The sequence below is a fragment of the Homo sapiens genome, chromosome 16 (genome assembly GCF_000001405.40).
Source record: "Homo sapiens chromosome 16, GRCh38.p14 Primary Assembly".
In the NCBI taxonomy this organism is placed as follows: Eukaryota; Metazoa; Chordata; class Mammalia; order Primates; family Hominidae; genus Homo; species Homo sapiens.
In genome coordinates this window covers 31315863-31334512 of record NC_000016.10, presented here as the reverse complement: position 1 = coordinate 31334512, position 18650 = coordinate 31315863, and the positions used below count along the sequence as shown (strand labels likewise).

Sequence of the window (18650 nt, the reverse complement as noted above, 5' to 3'; positions counted from 1 at the left end):
AAGGAAGGGAAAGAAAGAAAGAAGGAGAAAGAAAGAAAGAAGGAGAAAGAAAGAGAGAGAGAAAGAAAAGAGAGAAAGAGAAAGAAAGAAAGAAAAGAAAGAAACATTTTTGTCCAAAAACATGTCATCAATTTCATATGCTTTAACCCAATATCATAACAGTTAAATAACAGCCACCCTCTCCCCACACTCCCTCATGCCTGTTCTGGGGCCATTCCTCTGAGGCTGTCAGGACAGTAAAAGAGAAAAGCTTTAGACCTAGGCAGAGCTGGGATTAACTCCTAGCTCCATTCCTTCCCAGCTGTATGACCTCAGGCAACTGGTATGATCTATCTAAGCCTAGGTTTCCTCATAAGTGAAATTCATGTAAATACCAAGGACTGGTGTGAGGATTAGAGAGGATGTATGTTCAGGCCAGGCTAGTGTTTACTGTGTTTGCAAAGTATGAGGGACAGGCACTGGGCATCCTCCCTCTGAGGAAGCAGCCACCAAAATGTCACCTGCACACACCTTGGCAGCAAGTGCTCCTGGTGCCCTGACCTGAACCAAAGGCACCGTGTCAGGGGCTGTGTTCACCTGTCAAACATCCAGCCAGCAGCACTGGTATCACTTTCTCTGGCCACTAGAGCCCACTCTCCTCACACTCAGGGCAGGCCAGAAGTGGTAGGAAATTAACACACTCTCCCCACCAAGAGCAGCCCTCATCCAATAGCTAAGTGGAATCGGTGTCTATGCGCTCCAGCCTTCTCCCCTGGGTGGGGTGATACTGAGGTGCGTGTTCTGCACTGCCTCCGAGAACTGCCCAGTGGGGTGAAGCTCCAGGAACTCACAGCAGCTTCTCTGTGGGTGATACACCTGTTATTGGCAGCCTTCCCTTCCTCGGTATTTCCTGGAGCCATCTCTTTATTTTATTTTATTTTATTTATTTTTTTTTTTTTAAGATGGAGTCCTGCTCTGTCGCCCAGGCTGGAGTGCAGTGATGCAATCATATCTCACTGCAACCTCTACCTCCCAGGTTAAAGCAATTCTCCTTCCTCAGCCTCCCAAGTAGCTGAGATTACAGTTGCCTGCCACCATGCATGGCTAATTTTTTTGTATTTTTAGTAGAGACGGGGTTTCACCAAGTTCGACAGGCTGGTCTCAAACTCCTGAGATCAGGTGATCCACCAGCCTCGGCCTCCCAAAGTTCTGGGATTACAGAGGCGTGAGCCACTGTGCCCGACCTTTATTTTATTATTTTGTTTATTTTTGAGACAGGATCTCACTCTGTCACCCAGGCTGGAGTGCAGTGGTGCGATCATGGCTCACTGCAGTCTAGACCTTCTGGGCTCAAGTAATCCTCCTGCATCAGCCTCCGGAGTAGCTGTGACTACAGGCATGTAACACCAGGCCTGGCTAAATTTTTTTAATTTTTCGTGGACACAGGTTCTCACTATGTTGCCCAGGCTAGTCTCGAACTCCTGAGCTCAAGCAATCTTCACACCTTCACCTCCCAAAATGCTGGGATTTCAGGTGTGAGCCACCATGCCTGGCCTGCCACCTCTTAAATACGCTTGTTTCACCCAAATTCTTGGGTTTGCTTCTGGGAGAACCCAAACTTCCAGGAACATATCCTATAAATTATCCTTACATATATGCAAAAATGACATATATTTGATTTATTAACTCAGCATTGATGCAATAACAAGAGAATGAAAATAGTATATCAAAAGAAGACTGGTTAAATACATTATGGTACACTCACACAATGGAATACTATGCAGCGGTATAAAAGAATGAAAAAGTAATTTATGTCTTAATATGAACCGATGTCTGAGAAATATTGGTGAAAAAAAGCAAGATACAGACCAATATAAAGTATGCTACCATTTGTGTAAAAAAGCTTGTGTGTGTGTATGTGTGGTGTGTGTGCACACGTGCATACACTTGCACATCGCCTGGAATCTGTCTGAAGGAAACCTCAAAACACAATCTTGACTACCTTTAAGGAGGTGACTTGAATATCTGGAAAGGGAGACTTTTCACTGTACACTTGAATGCCTTGTGATTTTTGTACCATAGACAAGCTTATCCATCCAAAAAATTAAAGTCACATTGAAATAATAAATGAATCCAGAAAGGAAGCTTCATCATTCCTCAGTGGGCATCTTTATTGGGCATCAGCGCTGGTGTGGAGGAGGTTCCTGGTTCCACCCACGGCTTCTCATGGAGTCTCCATCCAAGCTGCGCAGGCTCCAGCAGGCCGCAGGCTCGCAGGCGACGGGAAGTCCCACTTCTTTCAGTGGAGAGAAGCTGCTGTGTTTCCCTCTGTCTTCACCCACAGGATTGACCGTCCCCTCTCCCGGAGGAAAACCCAGCAGCGGCTTCACCCACGCACAAGGGAGCCCAGGCAGTTCCCTTCTGCCGGAGAGGCTACGCTGCCGTCACCTACCCACACGCCAGAGACATCTGAGTCACACACGTGAGCCACACGCCCCTGAGCACACACATGCACACACTCGCACACATGCACACACTTGCACACACATGGACACACGCACACACACTTGGACACACTCACATACTTGCACACACTCACACATGGGCGTGCAAGTGCACATGCACGCACACGCACACATGTGCACACACTTGCACACAGACACTTGCACACACGCACATACACACTTGCACACACACAAATGGAAGCCCAAGCCCGTCCTGTCGGGGATACTTCGCTGTCCGACGTGTCCAGCAGCCTGGGGGCTACGTGTGGTCTGGGCAGAGTCCTGCTGGCCACCGAGAGGCAGCTCTGTCGGGAAGGAGCCGCTACTGGGGTTCGGCCCCCGGGGGACCCCCTTCACTCATCATGTCCTTGTATTGCCGCTTGAAGAAGCCGAGCTGCGGGGCAGAGGAGGGCAGTGAGAGCGACAGCAGCCAGGGAGCGTGCGGCTCCGCAGACCAGGGGGAGGGGGCGGGAGGGCCGGCAGAGACAGAAGGGACCCAGGAGGGCGGGGCGGGAGGGGAGTGACATCCGCGTCGGGGCCTGGAGAAAAACAGAAACTACAAGGAGGGCGACTCGTTCTCAGCGCGCCCCGCGCATGAACCCGGCCACCCTCCCTAAGAGACTGAGGCGCAGAGAGGCTCCCAGACTCGCCCCAGTCACACAGCTGGCAGCCCCGCCGGGGAAACCGAGGCACGGAGCTGCAGCGCGAGGCCCGAGAGGATGAAGGGAGGGGGTGGGGGAGCAGCGGGGAGCACCTTGTACAGCGCGGCGGTGATGAGGGCCAGGAGCAGCAGTCCCCCGACAGAGCTGCCCACGATGAGCGGCAGGGGGTTGGGGACCTCGAACGGCTCCACTTTGGTCTCCGTCTGGGGGAGGAAGGAGGGGCGTCAGGGGAGACGACTCTGGATTTCTGGGGGTTCCCCATTCACACCGTGTGCACCCCTGAATCAAGTGGGGAACCCCTCCTCATGTCCCCCAGAACCCCAGCCCTCAGTCCTCCTCCCCCACCTCTTCTCCCTCCTCTCCCTCCTCCGTTTCTCTGTCCTCTATCTCTCTCTATCGCTTTCTGCCTCTCTCTGTCTCTCTATCTCCATGGCTCACTGTCTCTGTCTCTGTCGCGCTCTGTATCTCTCTCTTTATCTCTATCTCTCTGTCTATCTCCATCTCTCACTGTCTCTGTCTCTATCTCTATCTCTCTGACTCTCTATCTCTCTCTCCTTTGTCTGTCTCTGTGTCTGTTTCTCCCTCTGCCTCTATCTCTCTGTCTCTGTCTGTCTCTCTCCTTACGTCTCTGTATCTCTCTGTCTCTCTGTCGCTCTGTCTCTCTCTCTCCCTCTCTCTTTGTGTCTCTCTCTCCTCCCCCAGAAATCTCCACAAGCGCAGCCCCTCTCCCTCCAATAGTTCCTCAGCGCCCAAGACAGGTACCTGGGACCTCACAAACGCCCCCTGTCCCGGCAGCAGGGTGAACACGGAATCGTTAAACAAGATCTCAGCTGTGCTCACGATCAGGAGGTGGTTATGCGAGGTCTGTGGAAGAGAGCGGGTGGGCACTGCACCTGGGCCCTGAGCACCACGCCTGTGCCCGGCGAAGCCTCAGGACCCCACACACCTTGATGTACCAGTCAAACGAGAGGTTGCCTTTGAGGGTAGCATTGAATTCTTCCTGGATGCCAAAGAACGGGATGTCACACTGGATTCTCTGGCAGACAGCGATGGAGCAGTTCTGGGGAACGCAGGAGGGGAGGGGACGGGTAAGGAAGCCGAAGGCAGAGAACACCCCTCCCCGTTTGCTCAGAGACCATACAGGTTCCAGCAGGGAAGCGCTCTGGGTCTCTGTGTGGCCCTGGGGCTGACTTAGCTTCTCACCACCACGGGGGCCTTCCGAAGCTCAGCCAGAAAGTCGGAGTGAGAGGGCAAGCGCTCCTTGGTGTGGCACGTACTCGAGAGGTTCTGAGGAAAGAGACGCACTGAGAAGGGGCAGAGATGAAGGCGCCAGGGCCTCATCTCGGGAGGTGAGATGGCCTGGGTCCAGGAGAGGGGCGGAGCGGCTCTAAAACCCAATAGCATTAACAGAGGTGAGAGGAACGCGCAGGGCCGTGCAGGAGTCAGGCCGAGCTCCGCTCACCTCGGAGAAGGTGACCTGGGGGCGGTCCCATATGACAGTCTGGTTCAGCCGGACGGGCACCAAGAACACCAGGCTGATGGGGAGGCTCCTCTGCCCCAGGTTGCTGACCTGCACCGGGGAGGGCGGGGTCAGGGCTCTGGCCTTCCTCCCCCACCAGCCTGGAGAATCAGCCTCCCCTCCCCACGGGGCAGGCCATAGGCCCGGGCGTCCTGCCCCTTCCTGTTTGAGAGAGTAGAGTGTACATGTAATACGCATTCCAGTGCCACACGGCCTGGTCTCCAGTCCTAGCTCTCCCACTTACTCGGTGGGAGACCTCGAGCTTGTTCTGTAAACCTCTCTGAGCCTCAGTTTCTTCATCTGTAAACTGGGGATCATGACAGTGCCCCACAGAGTCGCTACGAAGGTAATACAAGATAACTACGTGCGTGCATGTCACATACATACGTGCGTGTATGTGTGCATACTGAGTGATAGCAGCGTGGAACCAAGCCTGGCACACCACAGGTGCCTTGCGCACATTTCCCATCCCTGTTTCTGCATTTTCTACCATCGATTTTCCTCCCCAGCCTCCTTCTCAGGACCCAGACGTCCCAGCTGCCCACCTGATATTGATGCTGCATGACCCGACTGGTATTCTCTGAGGCCGTGAAGTTGAGATATTTAGTGGAGACCCCATGGCTGAAGGGAGAAAAAAGGGACAGGAGGTGACAAAACATGAGGGGTGCCCTGGGAGGGTGTCTCAGGCTAAGTGTGTAAGGAGCGAACAGGCACATGGGTAATGGGTATGAAGTCCTGGGGGGTGGAGATGGGGTGGGGTGCAGGGGGATGGGGGAACCAATGTGTGCTGGACACACAGTGCGTGCCCATTTGGGCCACTCACACACACGTGCACAAATGCACACCCATGAGCACATACACACATGCACACAGACCCTCAGACACACACACGCACAAATACACACCCATGCACACATACATGCACATAGATCCTCAGACACACACACATGCACGAATACACACTCATGCACACATACATGCACATAGACCCTCACACACATGCACAAATACACACCCATGCGCACACACATGCACATAGACCTTCACACACACACATGCACAAATACACACCCATGCGCACACGCATGCACATAGACCTTCAGACATACGCACAAATACACACCCAGGCACACAGATCCTCATACACACACATGCACAAATACACACCCATGCACACAATGCACATATATCCTCAGACACACACATATGCACACACACCCATGCCCAGACACACATGCACATAGATCCTCACACACACATGCACAAATACACACCCATGCACAAGGATCCTCACACACACGCACAAATACACACCCATGCACGCACACACACATAGATCACACTCACATCCACAAATACACGCCCATGCACACATACACACATGCAGATACATCCTCAGACACACACATGCACAAATACACGTCCATGCACACAAACATGCACATAGATCATCACACTCACACACCCATGCCCAAATACACACCCATGCACACATACATGCACAGAGATCCTCAGACTCTCACACACACACACATGCACAGACTCATGCACACAGATGCACAATCAGCCATGTCCAGCCCAGAAGTGGAGGCTCAGCTAAAGTCCTGGAAGCCAGCACCTGGTGACCACCATGTAGACAGCATATTTCACCGGCAGCTCCAGTTGGAATTCGGTTTTGTTGGTTCTGGGCATGTTGTTCTCACTGGAGGGAAAGAAAGAGCTCCAGCCGGCTCTTGAGAACTGACAGTTAGTCTTTGCTCCTCCCTCTCCCTCACTCCCTGCCTCCAATCAGCCACCAAGTTCTGTTATCTCTGCATCTGAAACCCCACTGTTCTCCAACCCCTGCCCCCGCCTAGCCCAGGCCCATCCCTCTCCAGCTGGATGTCTGCAACCACCTTCTTCTAACTGGTCCCCTGAATTCACACCTGCTCCCACCCCAATCGCCAGCCCTCCTGAAGAGTGATCGTTCTAACATGCAAATATGATTATGTCACTCCCAGAGGCGAAACTGCAAATCCCAAACAACACCCGTCAGTCATTTTGGGACATGGCCTGTATCTAACCACCACCAACTCCTTCAGCCCTGCATTTCATGCTGAGGCCACTCTTAAACACACCCTGATCTTCCCGTCCCTGGTATCTGCTTCCTGCCTTCTGTCTTCATGCCCGCCCTCAGTTCATGCCTTTGCTTTGTCTAAATATATTTTCTTTTTTTCCCTTTTATTTTTTATTATTATTATTATTATTATTATTTTGACACTGGGTCTCACTCTATTGCCCAGGCTGGAGTGCAGTGGCACCATCTCAGCTCACTGCAGCCTCAATCTTCCAGGCTCAAGCAATTCTTGTGCCTCAGCCTCCTGAGTAGCTGGGATTACAGGCATGCACCACCATGCCTGGCTAATTTTTGTATTTTTTTTTTTTTGTAGAAACAGGGTATTGATATGTTGTCCAGGCTGATTTTGAACTCCTGGGTTCGAGCAATTGTTTTGCCTCAGCCTCCCAAAGTGCTGGGATTACAGGCTTGAGCCAGCACGCCCAGCTCCTAAATATATTTTCTTTAGGAATCTTCTCTGAACACCAAACTCCCAAGAACACTGGCCGTCCCCCATCTAATCTTGCATCTCATACTGGATTTGAGATGGATGCAAGATTAATGGCTAGATTTCTTGTCTGTCTTTGCCACTAAATTATCATCTCCGAGAGGGCAGGAACCACTATCGTCTGATCCACCACCATCCCACCAGCACTCAGCACAAGGCCCAGCACGTGGTGGGTGGTCAGTGAGTGTTTGCTGAGTGAACAAATGAGTTGAAGGGAGAACCAGTGGGCAAAGGGCAAAGGCCCACCATGGGCCAGGGGCTGGGGCGTCAGACGGGCAACTGCCTGCAGAAGCCTGGTAGCAGAGAGCACCTGGTCACATTGGCCTTGAGGAGCAGTTTGTTTCCAAGGGAAGCCTTAGAGTCTACATCAAACGTGATATTAAAGGTGACCTGGAGTGAGAGAAAGGAGAGACAATGACAGAAATATGAGAGAAAAAATAACCCAAATGCCCGTCATCTGATTAATGGAGACATGAAATATGGCCCATCCATGCAACAGGATATTGTTCACCAAATAAAAAGCAATGAAGGCCAGGTGCGGTGGCTCACACCTGTAATCCCAGCACTTTGGGAGGCTGAGGCAGGTGGATCACCTGAGGTCAGGAGTTCGAGACCAGCCTGGCCAACATGGCAAAACCCTGTATCTACTAAAAATACAAAAATTAGCTGGGTGTGGTGGCGGGCGCATGTAACCCCAGCTACTTGGGAGAGTGAGGCACAAGAATTGCTTAAACCTGGGAGGCAGAGGTTGCAGTGAGCCAAGATTGCACCACTGCACTCCAGCCTGGGCAACGAAGTGAAACTCCATCTCAAAAATATATATAAAAAATTTAAAAACAATTTTTTTAAAGCAATGAGGTACTGACATATACTACGACATGAATGATCCTTGCTAAGTCCTTGCTTAATATTATGCTAGGGAAAGGATCACATACGGGATTATTTCATTTATATGAAATGTCCAGAATAGGCAAATCTATAGACAAAGTAGATTAGTGGTTGCATAGGGCTGGGGGATATGGGAGGACTGGGGCTGAGGGCCAACGGGAACAGAAGCTCTTTGTGAGGTAATGAAGATGTTCCAAAATGGATCATGATGACGGATGCAAGACCCTATGAATTCACTCAAAGCCACTGAACTGTATACTTTATTTTATTTTATTTCATTTTATTTATTTTCAAGACAGGGTCTCACTCTGTCGCCTAGGCTAGAGTGCAGTGGTGTGATCATAGCTCACTGCAGCCTCAACCTCCCAGGCCCAGACGATCCTCCCACCCTAGCCTCCCGAGTAGCTGGGACTACAGGTGTGCACCACCACGCCCAGCTAATTTTTACATTTTTTGTAGAGACAGGGTCTCGCCGTGTCACCCAGGCTGGTTTCAAACTCTCGGGCTCAAGCGATCCTCCTGCCTCGACCTCCTAAAGTGCTATGATTACAAGCATGAGCCACTGTGCCGGGCTTGAAATGTATGCTTTAAATAGGTGAATTGGATGGTATATGAATTATATCTCAATAAAGCTGTTTTGTACAAAAAGGAACCACTACTAAAGAAGAGAAGAAGAAGAAAAGAATCCCCAAAGAAATCAAAGAGAAAAGGAGGGGAGGAGCCAGGAGTTCTGACCTCTGAGTTTTCCGGGAAGATGGGGTGGTTTATGCTGCAGCTGGTGCTCTTCAAGGCCCCAGACACTTCGGTGGAGGAGGCAGACTCACAGGCCAGGCGCCAGGATCGCTGTGAGCGCTGGTTCTGGAAGGCAGGGGAGGCAAAGGCGGTGATATCCACCTCCGGCCGTGAGGATGGGGAAGCAAAGGTCAGATAGAGCCTGAGAAGGATGTGGCTACCTGGAGCGTGGACACCTTCCGGTAGGACAGGTCAAGCGGGAAGAAGAAGGTGACCTGTGTCCTGTAGGAGTCCTCACCATCATTTCTCACAGTCACTGTCACGTTGAACTCCCGGGGCCCACCCACCACGAGGCAGTCCAGGCTGTGGGAAGAAGAAGACAGGCCGGGGGATGGGGCGCTGGGCTTCCCTGTGGCAAGCCTGCTCCAGCAGAACAGAGACGCAGACACTTGATGAAGAGACAACAGTGGAGGGGCAGCCACACCGGACCTTATAGCCCAGGAACACCCGGCTCCCTTGGGGGCCAGGAGGAGAAAAGAGCGGGTCATGGTACGGGTCCTTCTCTGGAGGAGGTGAGGAGGAAAGGAAACTCACCTCATGAAACTGAAGGTGATGCTGAGGTCATCCTGGCAGATGTTGTCATTGCCACAATTCTTCTCAAAGGGAAACTTTTAAAAAATAAATATGATCAAATGAAAGGAAAGAAAATAACCAAGTATTGTGAAATTAAACAATAAAATCAAATGTTGAAGTAAAATTAGATGCAATCAAATAAAATGAGTTTCAACCACCTTGGTCTCTGGTCTCTTCCACACCCCTGCAGGACCCCAACTCTGGACTCACCAAGGCTGTGAAGAGTCTCTGAGCATCCTCCGCCAGCACTGGCCGGAGGTTCCCGAAAGCAGACAATGGCGTTCCCACCAGAGAGAAGTTCAGGCGCAGCACAATGGGGCTCACTGGGTCCTCGATGCAATTCTAAGAGATAGCCGGGATTTGGGGATCTGCCCTCCTCAGCTCCCCAAGCCCACTCCATGCTTGGAAGACCCAGGGGTCTGGCCACTAGCCTGCTCACCGGCAACTGTAGTTTCAGGGTCTCACAAGTCTGGGTCAGCCCCAAGACCTGTGTCTGTCTGCGTGTGCTGTTCTTTGTCTCATTGAAGACGGCGCGGGAATGTGGGCGGCCGGAGTCCAGAGCCAGGTCATAAGTCACAACACTCTGGATCTGTCCTGAAGGGACAGGGTGGCACAGCAGTGAGGGGCCTGAGCCTCGGAACCCGGCAGATGGGAGTTCAAGGCCCAGCTCCTCTGCTTCTCAGCTGTGTGACTTGGGGTATGTTATCTGACTTCTCTGAGTCTTCTTTCCTTCCTTCCTTCCTTTTTCTTTCTTTCTTTCTTTCCTCGCTCTCTTCCTCCCTTTCCTTCCTTCCTTCCTTTTTTCCTTTCCTTTCCTTCCTTCCTTTTCTTCCTTTCCTTCCTTTCCTACTTTCCTTCCTTTCCTTCCTTCCCTTCTTCCTTCCTTCCTTTTCTTCCTTTCCTTCCTTTCCTACTTTCCTTCCTTTCCTTCCTTCCCTTCTTCCTTCCTTCCTTTCTTTTTATTTTTTATTTTCTTTTTTGAGACAGAATCTCACTCTCTTGCCCAGGCTGGAGTGCAGTGGTGCCATCTCAGCTCACTGCAACCTCTGCCTCCCAGGTTCAAGCGTTTCTCCTGCCTCAGCCTCCCAAGTAGCTGGGATTATAGGCACATGCCACCACGCCGTGCTAATTTTTGTATTTTTAGTAGAGATGGGGTTTCACCATGTTAGCCAGGCTGGTCTCAAAGTAATCCACCTGCCTCAGCCTCCCAAAGCGCTAGGATTAAAGGCATGAGCCACTGCGCCTGGCCTCCATTCTTTATTTTTAAAGTGAGGATAATAATGATACCCTCCCAATGGTAAAAAGGAAATGAAATAGTGCTTATCAAGTATTTAGCACAGTGTCTTTTATACAATAAGTGCTCAATAAATGGTAGCTATTCTGTCACTCACTAAAAAATTTATTGTATTTTTCTGACTACTTTAAATTTTTTTCTCTTTGTCTTTGGTCTTCAGCAGTTTGATTATAACGTACAATGATATAATGTCCTTCATATTTATCCTGCTTTGATTTTGTAAAGAATCTTGATGTCTTTCATCAGTTTGGGGAATTTTTTTTTTTTTTTTTGAAATGGAGTTTCGCTCTTGTCACCCAGACTGGAGTGCAATGGGGCGATCTCAGCTCACTGCAACATCCGCCTCCCAGGTTCAATTCTCCTGCTTCAGCCTCCTGAGTAGCTGGGATTACAGACGCATACCACCACACCTGCTAATTTTGTATTTTTAGTAGAGATGGGGTTTCACCATGTTGGCCAGGCTGGTCTCAAACTCCTGACCTCAGGTGATCCACCTGCCTCGGCCTCCCAAAGTGCTGGGATTACAGGCGTGAGCCACCGTGACTGGCCAGTTTGGGGAAATTCTTTAACTACTGCATCTTTCCTATTCCATCCTATTCCATCTTTCCTATTCTGTCTTTCCTATTCCATCTTTCCTATTTTCTTTCTCTCTCTCTCTCTCTCCTCCCCCACCACCACTTTCTGTAATTCCAATTACATGTTTGTTAGATCTTTCACCATATCCCACACATCTCTTATGGTGTTTTTCTGTATTTTTCTTTCTTTTTATCGCATATTTATCCAGATACTTTCAAATGACTGTCTTCTTGTTCACTAATTCTCTGTTCTGCTTCTAATCTGCTATAAATCTATTTACTGAATTCTTCATTTCAGTCAGTGCGATTTTTGGTTCTAGAGTTTCCATTTGACTCTATTTTATGAATTCCAGGTTTTTGCTGAAGTTCTCATCCTTTCCCTTTTTTCTTGAAGATATTAATTATAGTTACCTTTTAAAAATTCCTATCCAATCACTCTAATTTCTGAATCACCTGTGGGTCTATTTCTATTGTATATTGTTTCTCTTGGTTGCTAGTCAGTTGTCTCAATGGAAAGACCAAGGTATTTACCAAGGCCTCTCAAATCTCTGTCTCCCCAGCACTGAGGAGCTGCTGAATTCTCTGATCAGCTCTTTGGCTTTTCAGTTGCTGTTTTCTACTGGGTGTCTTGGAGTACTGACCTAGGCATTCGTGTCTTAAGAGTCAGCCAAAGAGTAGAGGGGGACTTCTATGTAGGTTTAAGGGTACCTCTTCTTCAATTCCCTACTCTCTAACATTTTGCTCTTAATTTCTAGCCATGCTGGCTGCTCTCATATCTGGAATGCTATCTCCTCAGCACAGGAAAACTGTTCCTAGAAAGGTAATCATTTTTTAGGGATGGGTCTTGCTATGTTGCCCAGGCTGGCCTCAACCTCCTGGGCTCAAGTGATCCTCCCCTCCCACCTCAGCCTCTCAAGTAGCTGAGACTACAAGAACATGCCATCATGCCTAGCTAATAATTTTACTTTTAAAGAGGGTACAATTCTTTCTAGTACTGTCATTACTAGAGACAGTTATTCCTAGTGCTGTCACTACTAGAGACAGTTATTCTTAGTATTGTCATTACTATTCTCCCACCCCAAACACAGTTCTACTCTTTGAGAATAGGAACAAGGGAAGAAGTCACTGGTGATAAAATGCGTATGTGAGTGCTTTGTAAATCTCTGTTTAGCTTCATCAATTCAATCTCCCCAAATAGGTTTTCTCTCCGTTTATTAAAAAACAAAAACATAGTTTGTTCACAGGCATGGGGCCTTCAGTTCTCTGGAGAACTGAGTGAGTAAGGAAGTGCCACATGCTCACCTCTTTAGGGAGGTCCACTGGACTTCCCTACCCAGCAGGACAATAGCCTGCTCACTCAGGTAAGGCTTGGAGAAGGTTGTCAGAGCCTGTGAGAACTCAGTTCAGGACAGCCAGAAGGCTGGGCAGAGTGGATTGCAGCACCCATTCATGTCCTCGGTCGTTTAACCTCTTGAGACTCATCCACCAAGCCTCACCTTCTCTTAGCCGATCCCGTGTGCTCTTCTGGACATGGAGGCAGACTCTGACCTCTCCGGCTTCCTTGCCTTTCACCACCTGATCATTACACTCAAATACATTCCTTGCCACTTCCCTGGGATTGAACTCCATGATTGCCTTGACTCTCAGTACTGGCTGGGACCTAAAGGGACACCAGAAAACCATCAGGGACCTTCAAACAGGAAACATTCCTTCAAGGGAGAATGTCCGGTTGACTCCAAAAGGCATTCTCACCTGAGCAGCAGCACGTGCCCCTGGGCTCCTACAGTCAGGTCTACCAGTCCATCCATTGTGAGGTCCTGGCCCCCACTCAGTGACTGACCAAAATACTGGAGCCTGGGAGAGAGCTTGGAGCCTGCTATCCGCTGAGGGTAAAAAAGAGGTGTGGAGAGAGAAAGGGGTAGGAAAGACAGGAGATGTATAACTCAGTCATCCAGCATGGCCCAGACAGAGGTTCTCTAAGCTCTACTCAAGTCTCATCTCTTGCAACTAACCAAGGAACTAGGACAGCTTAGAACTTATCAAGGAATTATTCACCTTTAGACCACAACCTCAAGAGGATACCTACAATTTCTTTTTTAAAAAAACTTTTAAAATAAAAACGGGGGTCTCACTTTGTGGCCCAGGCTGGTCTTGAACTCCTGGGCTCAAGCGATTCTGCCCTGTCAGCCTCTCAAGTGCTAGGATTATAGGTGTGAGCCGCCACGCCCAACCCCAATTTCTATTAATTACCTGCATTTCCCTGCATACAGGGAAAAGTAAAAGTATATTATTTGGCTCAGCTGAATTTCATTTACGTAGTCAGAATAATGCAAACACTGAATGTTGATCTAAACAAAATGATCACATAAACATGAGGCGTGAATGGGGGGTAAAAGAGTGCTACTATGTGGCAAAAGGAAAACTGAAAAAGAGATCAATCTCCACCTTCCATGGTGGGAAGTCAGTGGTAAAACAAAAATCAAAAAGTAGCAAAATTATTATTATGTAATTGGAACAAATAGAGAATTGAAAGAGCTGAAAGTGGTTCCCTCAAGAGCAAGGGAAATGAAGCCAAAACCATCGTGTATGTGGAAATTGTTGTTTTTTAATAGTGAGCTTTTTGGAACTATTTTGACTCTTTAAAGTATGTGCAAGAGTAATATTGAAAAAAATGACAGCCAAATAATAAATTTTAAAGAAATTTTAAAAGTGATTTTGTCATGTCCTTAATGCAAGTGAATTGGACACTTTTAATTATGGTATAAAAGTTATAAGACAAAGATATTAAAAATAACTATAGCTAAAATTATGTTACTGGATACACAATATAAATAACTGTAAATTGTGAATCAATAACGTAAAACGTGTAGTGGGGAATAAAAGTATAGAGTGCATGTGATTTAAGTTCAGTTGTTATCAGCTTAAAATAGACCATGATAATTATGAGATGTTTTGTGGAAACCACAAAGAAAATACCTTTAGAAGTTATATACACAAAAAAAGGGTCAGACGCGGTGGCTCACGTGGCTTACACCTGTAATCCCAGCACTTTGGGAGGCTGAGGTGGGCGGATCACGAGGTCAGGAGATCAAGACCATCCTGGCTAACGTGGTGAAACCCCATCTCTATTAAAAATACAAAAAATTAGCCAGGAGAGGTGGTGGGCACCTGTAGTCCCAGCTACTCGGGAGGCTGAGGCAGAAGAATGGCCTGAACCCGGGAGGCGGAGCTTGCAGTGAGCCGAGATCGCACCACTGCACTCCAGCCTGGGTGACAGAATGAGATTCCGTCTCAAAAAAAAAAAAGTACAAAAAGAGAACAAAATGAAAGCATATTAATACAAAAATTAACAACAATAAAACACAAAGGAAGACAGCAAGAGAAGAAAAGAGGGACAAAAGACCTACATGACTAACAGAAAACAATTAACAAAATGGCAGTAGTAAATCCTTCTCTATCAATAATTACTTTAAATGTAAACAGAAGCAAACTCTCAAAACAGAGTGGCAGAATTAATAAAAATACAAAATCCAATTATATGCTATCTACAAGATACCCACTTTGTATTTACTGACACATAGGCTAAAAGTAAAGGAGTAGAAAATGCTATTCCATTAAAATGGTAACCAAAAGAGAGCAGGATGACATGCTAATATCAGACAAAATAGACTTTAAGTCAAAAAACAAATAATGATATTATATAATGATGAAATGGCCATTTCACCAGGAGTTACAACAATTAATTATATACACACCCATCAGACATCTGAATATATAAAGCTAATAATGACAGAACTGAAGGGAGAAATAGACAGCAATTCAATAGTAAGAAACTTCAAAATCCTACTTTCAATAGCAAATAGAACAACTAGACAAAAAAAAAACCCAAGGGAGAATGGACCAAATGGACTTAACAGACATATACAAAATACACAAGCCAACTACTGCAGAATATACATTCTTCTCAAGTGCACATGGACCATTCCCCAGGACAGACCACATGTTAGGTCACAAAACAAGTCTTAACAAATTTGAAATGATTTAAATTATATCAAGAATCTTTTCCAACCACAATGGAATGAAACTAAAAACAATACCAGAAGAAAAACTGGAAAAAAACATACATATGTAAAAATTAAACAATACACCATTGAACAACTAATGGATAAAAAAATAAATTAGAAAATAACATGAGATAAATGAAAACAAAAACACAATATACCAAACTTAATGGGAGGCAGCAAAAGCAGTACTAAAGGAAAGTTCGGGATAAACACCTAATTTTAAAACAAAAAGACAAATTTCAATTACAAAACCTAACTTTACACCTCAAGAAATGAGAAATAAAAGAACAAACTAAACCTAAAGTTAGTAGAAGGAAGAAAATAATAAAGATTACAGAAAAATAAATCAAATAGAGAATAGAAAAAAATCAATGAAATTAAGTTGATTTTTCAAAAAGATAGAATTGACAAGCTTTGGCCAGGTGCAGTGGCTCACGCCTGCAATCCCAGCACTTTGGGATGTCGAGGCAAGTGGATCACCTGAGATGAGGAGTTCAAAACCAGCCTGGCCATCATGGTGAAACCCTGTCTCTACTAAAAATACGAAAATCAGCCAGGTGTGGTGGCACGTGCTTGTAATGCCAGCTACTCAGGAGCCTGAGGCAGGAGAATCACTTGAACCTGGGAGGTGGAGAATGCAGTGAGCTGTGATCATGCCACTGCACTCCAGCCTGGGCAACAGAGTGAGACTCCATCTCAAAAAAAAAAAAAAAAAGAACTGACAAGCTTTTAGGTAGACCAAGGAAAAAGGGAGAAAAAACAGAAACAACAGATAAGTAAAATTATAAATGAAAGAACATACAACTGATGCCATAGCAATAAAAAGGATCATTAAGAGACTACTATGAACAATTATATGTTAACAAACTTGATAACCTTGAAGGAATGGATAAATTCCTAGAAATATACAACCTACCAAGCCTGAATCATAAGGCAATAGAAAGTTTAAACAGATCTATAATGAGTAAGGAAATTGAATCAGTAATCAAAGACCTCCTAACAAAGAAAAGCCCAGGACCTGGTGGCTTCTCAGGCAAATTCTACCAACCAAACATTTAAATAAGAATTAATATGAATTCTTCTCAAACTCATCCAAAAAACTGAAGAGGAGGGAATACTTCCAAACTTATTGTATGAGGCAAGCACTATCCTGACACTAAATCCCAACAAACACACCATGAGAAAAGATCACTACATGCCAATTTCCCTATTGAACATAGATCCAAAATCCTAAATAAAATACTAGCAAACTGAATTCAATAGCACAAAAGGGTCATACGCCATGACCATGTGGGCTTTATTCCTGGCATGCAAGGATGGCTCAACATATGCAAATCAATAAATGTGATGCACCACATTAACAGAATAAGGAATAAAAATAACATGATCTTATCAATAAGAAAAGAAAGCATTTAATAAAACTAAACATCTGTCTTAGCTTATTTGGTATAACAAATAACATAGACTGGATGGGTTATAAGCAATAGAAATTTATTTCTCATAGTTCTGAAGACTTGTGACATCCAAAATCAAGGTGCAAGCAGATTCAATATCTGGTGAGAGCCTATTTTCTGGTTCATAGGCAACCATCATTTTGCTTTTGTCTAAGGGCACTAATCCTATTAATGATGGCCACACTCTCATGACCTAAACACCTTCCAAAGGTCCCATCTACAAATACCATCACACAAGGAATTAGGCTTCAACATATGAATCTGGGGAGGACACAAACATTCAGGCCACAGGAATAGCCACTCATGATTAAAAACCCTCAACAAACTAGAAATACAGGGAAATTACATCAACATGATAAAGAACATTAAAAAAAGTGTCTAGTTAACATCATACCCAGTGGTGAAAATTTGATTTTACCACTAAAATTAGGAACAAGGCAAGGATGCCCACACTCACCACTTCTATTTCAACACAGTACTGAAAGTCCTAGCCAGAGCAATTGGGCAAGAAAAAGATAAGAAATGCATTCAAGTTAGAAATAAAGAAAAAAAAATTGTCCCTGTTTGCAATTGACATGATCTTATATATAAGAAACTTGTTATAAATACTCTACGAAAAAGTTATCAAATTTAATAAACAAATTTAGTAAAGTCATGGAATACAAAATGAACATACAAAAATTATTTGTTTCTATACACTAACAACAAACTATCTGAAAAAGAAATTAATCCTATTTACAATGGCATCAAAAAATAAAATGCTTACAAGTTAATTTAACCAAGAAGGTGAAAAATATGCACACTAAAACTATAAAACATTGACGAAAGAAAGTTAAGACAAAAATCAATGGAAAGATATCCCATATTATGGATTGAAAGAATATTTTTAAAGGTCCATACTATTCAAAGTGATCGATAGAGTCAATGTAATTCCTACCAAAATCCCAATGGCATTTCTTACAGAAATAGAAAAAACAATACTAAAATTAATATGAAGTCACAAAAGACCTCAAATATCCAAGACAATCTTGAGCATAAACAACAAAGGTAGAGGTATCACACTACCTGACATCAAAATACACCACAAAGGTATACTCAGCAAAACAGCATGACACTGACATAAAAACAGAGACATTGACCAATGGAACAGAATACAGAGCTCAGAAATGAACCCATGCATTTACAATCAACTAATTTTCTTTTCTTTTTTTTTTTTTTCCAGACGGAGTCTTGCTCTGTTACCCAGGCTGGAGTGCAGTGGCATGATGTAGGCTCACTGCAACCTCTTCCTCCCAGGTTCCCCCATTCTCCTGCCTCAGCCTCCCGAGTAGCTGGAACTACAGGTGCCCACCACCATGCCTGGCTAATTTTTTTTTTTTTTTTTTTTTTTTTTTTTTTTTTTTTTGAGACGGAGTCTCGCTCTGTCGCCCAGGCCGGACTGCGGACTGCAGTGGCGCAATCTCGACTCACTGCAAGCTCTGCTTCCCGGGTTCACGCCATTCTCCTGCCTCAGCCTCCCGAGTAGCTGGGACTACAGGCGCCCGCCACCGCGCCCGGCTAATTTTTTGTATTTTTAGTAGAGACGGGGTTTCACCTTGTTAGCCATGACGGTCTCGATTTCCTGACCTCATGATCCACCCGCCTCAGCCTTCCAAAGTGCTGAGATTACAGGCATGAGCCACCGCGCCCGGCCAACAATCAACTAATTTTCAACAAAGGTGCCAAGGGCATACAATGGGGAAA

General features: G+C 46.0%; 1 protein-coding gene across 8 annotated transcripts in view, besides 2 other annotated features; it reads right to left on the bottom strand.

Annotated features, from left to right (window-relative positions):
* Window positions 1636–18650, bottom strand: part of ITGAM (integrin subunit alpha M) — a 72903-nt gene continuing 55888 nt past the window's right edge. For 3 of the 8 annotated variants that reach the window (NM_001145808.2, NM_000632.4, XM_011545850.3), the window contains 16 exons: window positions 13142–13272; window positions 12886–13049; window positions 9960–10114; window positions 9731–9862; window positions 9482–9555; window positions 9109–9250; window positions 8891–9013; window positions 7578–7657; window positions 6283–6366; window positions 5210–5285; window positions 4608–4715; window positions 4349–4432; window positions 4092–4205; window positions 3908–4009; window positions 3238–3348; window positions 1636–2877 (listed from right to left, as the gene is read on the bottom strand). In NM_001145808.2, coding sequence (NP_001139280.1) covers window positions 2806–2877; window positions 3238–3348; window positions 3908–4009; window positions 4092–4205; window positions 4349–4432; window positions 4608–4715; window positions 5210–5285; window positions 6283–6366; window positions 7578–7657; window positions 8891–9013; window positions 9109–9250; window positions 9482–9555; window positions 9731–9862; window positions 9960–10114; window positions 12886–13049; window positions 13142–13272 — 1752 coding nt within the window. In that variant the 3' untranslated portion in view covers window positions 1636–2805. Of the gene's footprint in view, window positions 2878–3237; window positions 3349–3907; window positions 4010–4091; window positions 4206–4348; window positions 4433–4607; window positions 4716–5209; window positions 5286–6282; window positions 6367–7513; window positions 7658–8890; window positions 9014–9108; window positions 9251–9481; window positions 9556–9730; window positions 9863–9959; window positions 10115–12885; window positions 13050–13137; window positions 13273–18650 lie in introns of those variants that run through there. The other 5 variants (XR_950796.1, XR_007064878.1, XM_017023216.2 and 2 more) reach the window with 4 other exon arrangements.
* Window positions 2956–3035: a silencer, noted in NCBI's record as "silent region_7417". NCBI's record gives its function as "represses an Ori minimal core promoter by ATAC-STARR-seq in GM12878 lymphoblastoid cells {active_cell/tissue: GM12878}" and the evidence as "EXISTENCE:reporter gene assay evidence [ECO:0000049][PMID:35858748]".
* Window positions 8971–9198: a silencer, noted in NCBI's record as "fragment chr16:31336636-31336863 (GRCh37/hg19 assembly coordinates)". NCBI's record gives its function as "represses an EF-1alpha promoter that drives an FKBP-Casp9 reporter gene in an ReSE screen in phorbol 12-myristate 13-acetate-treated (for megakaryocytic differentiation) K562 erythroleukemia cells {active_cell/tissue: K562(+PMA)}" and the evidence as "EXISTENCE:reporter gene assay evidence [ECO:0000049][PMID:32094911]".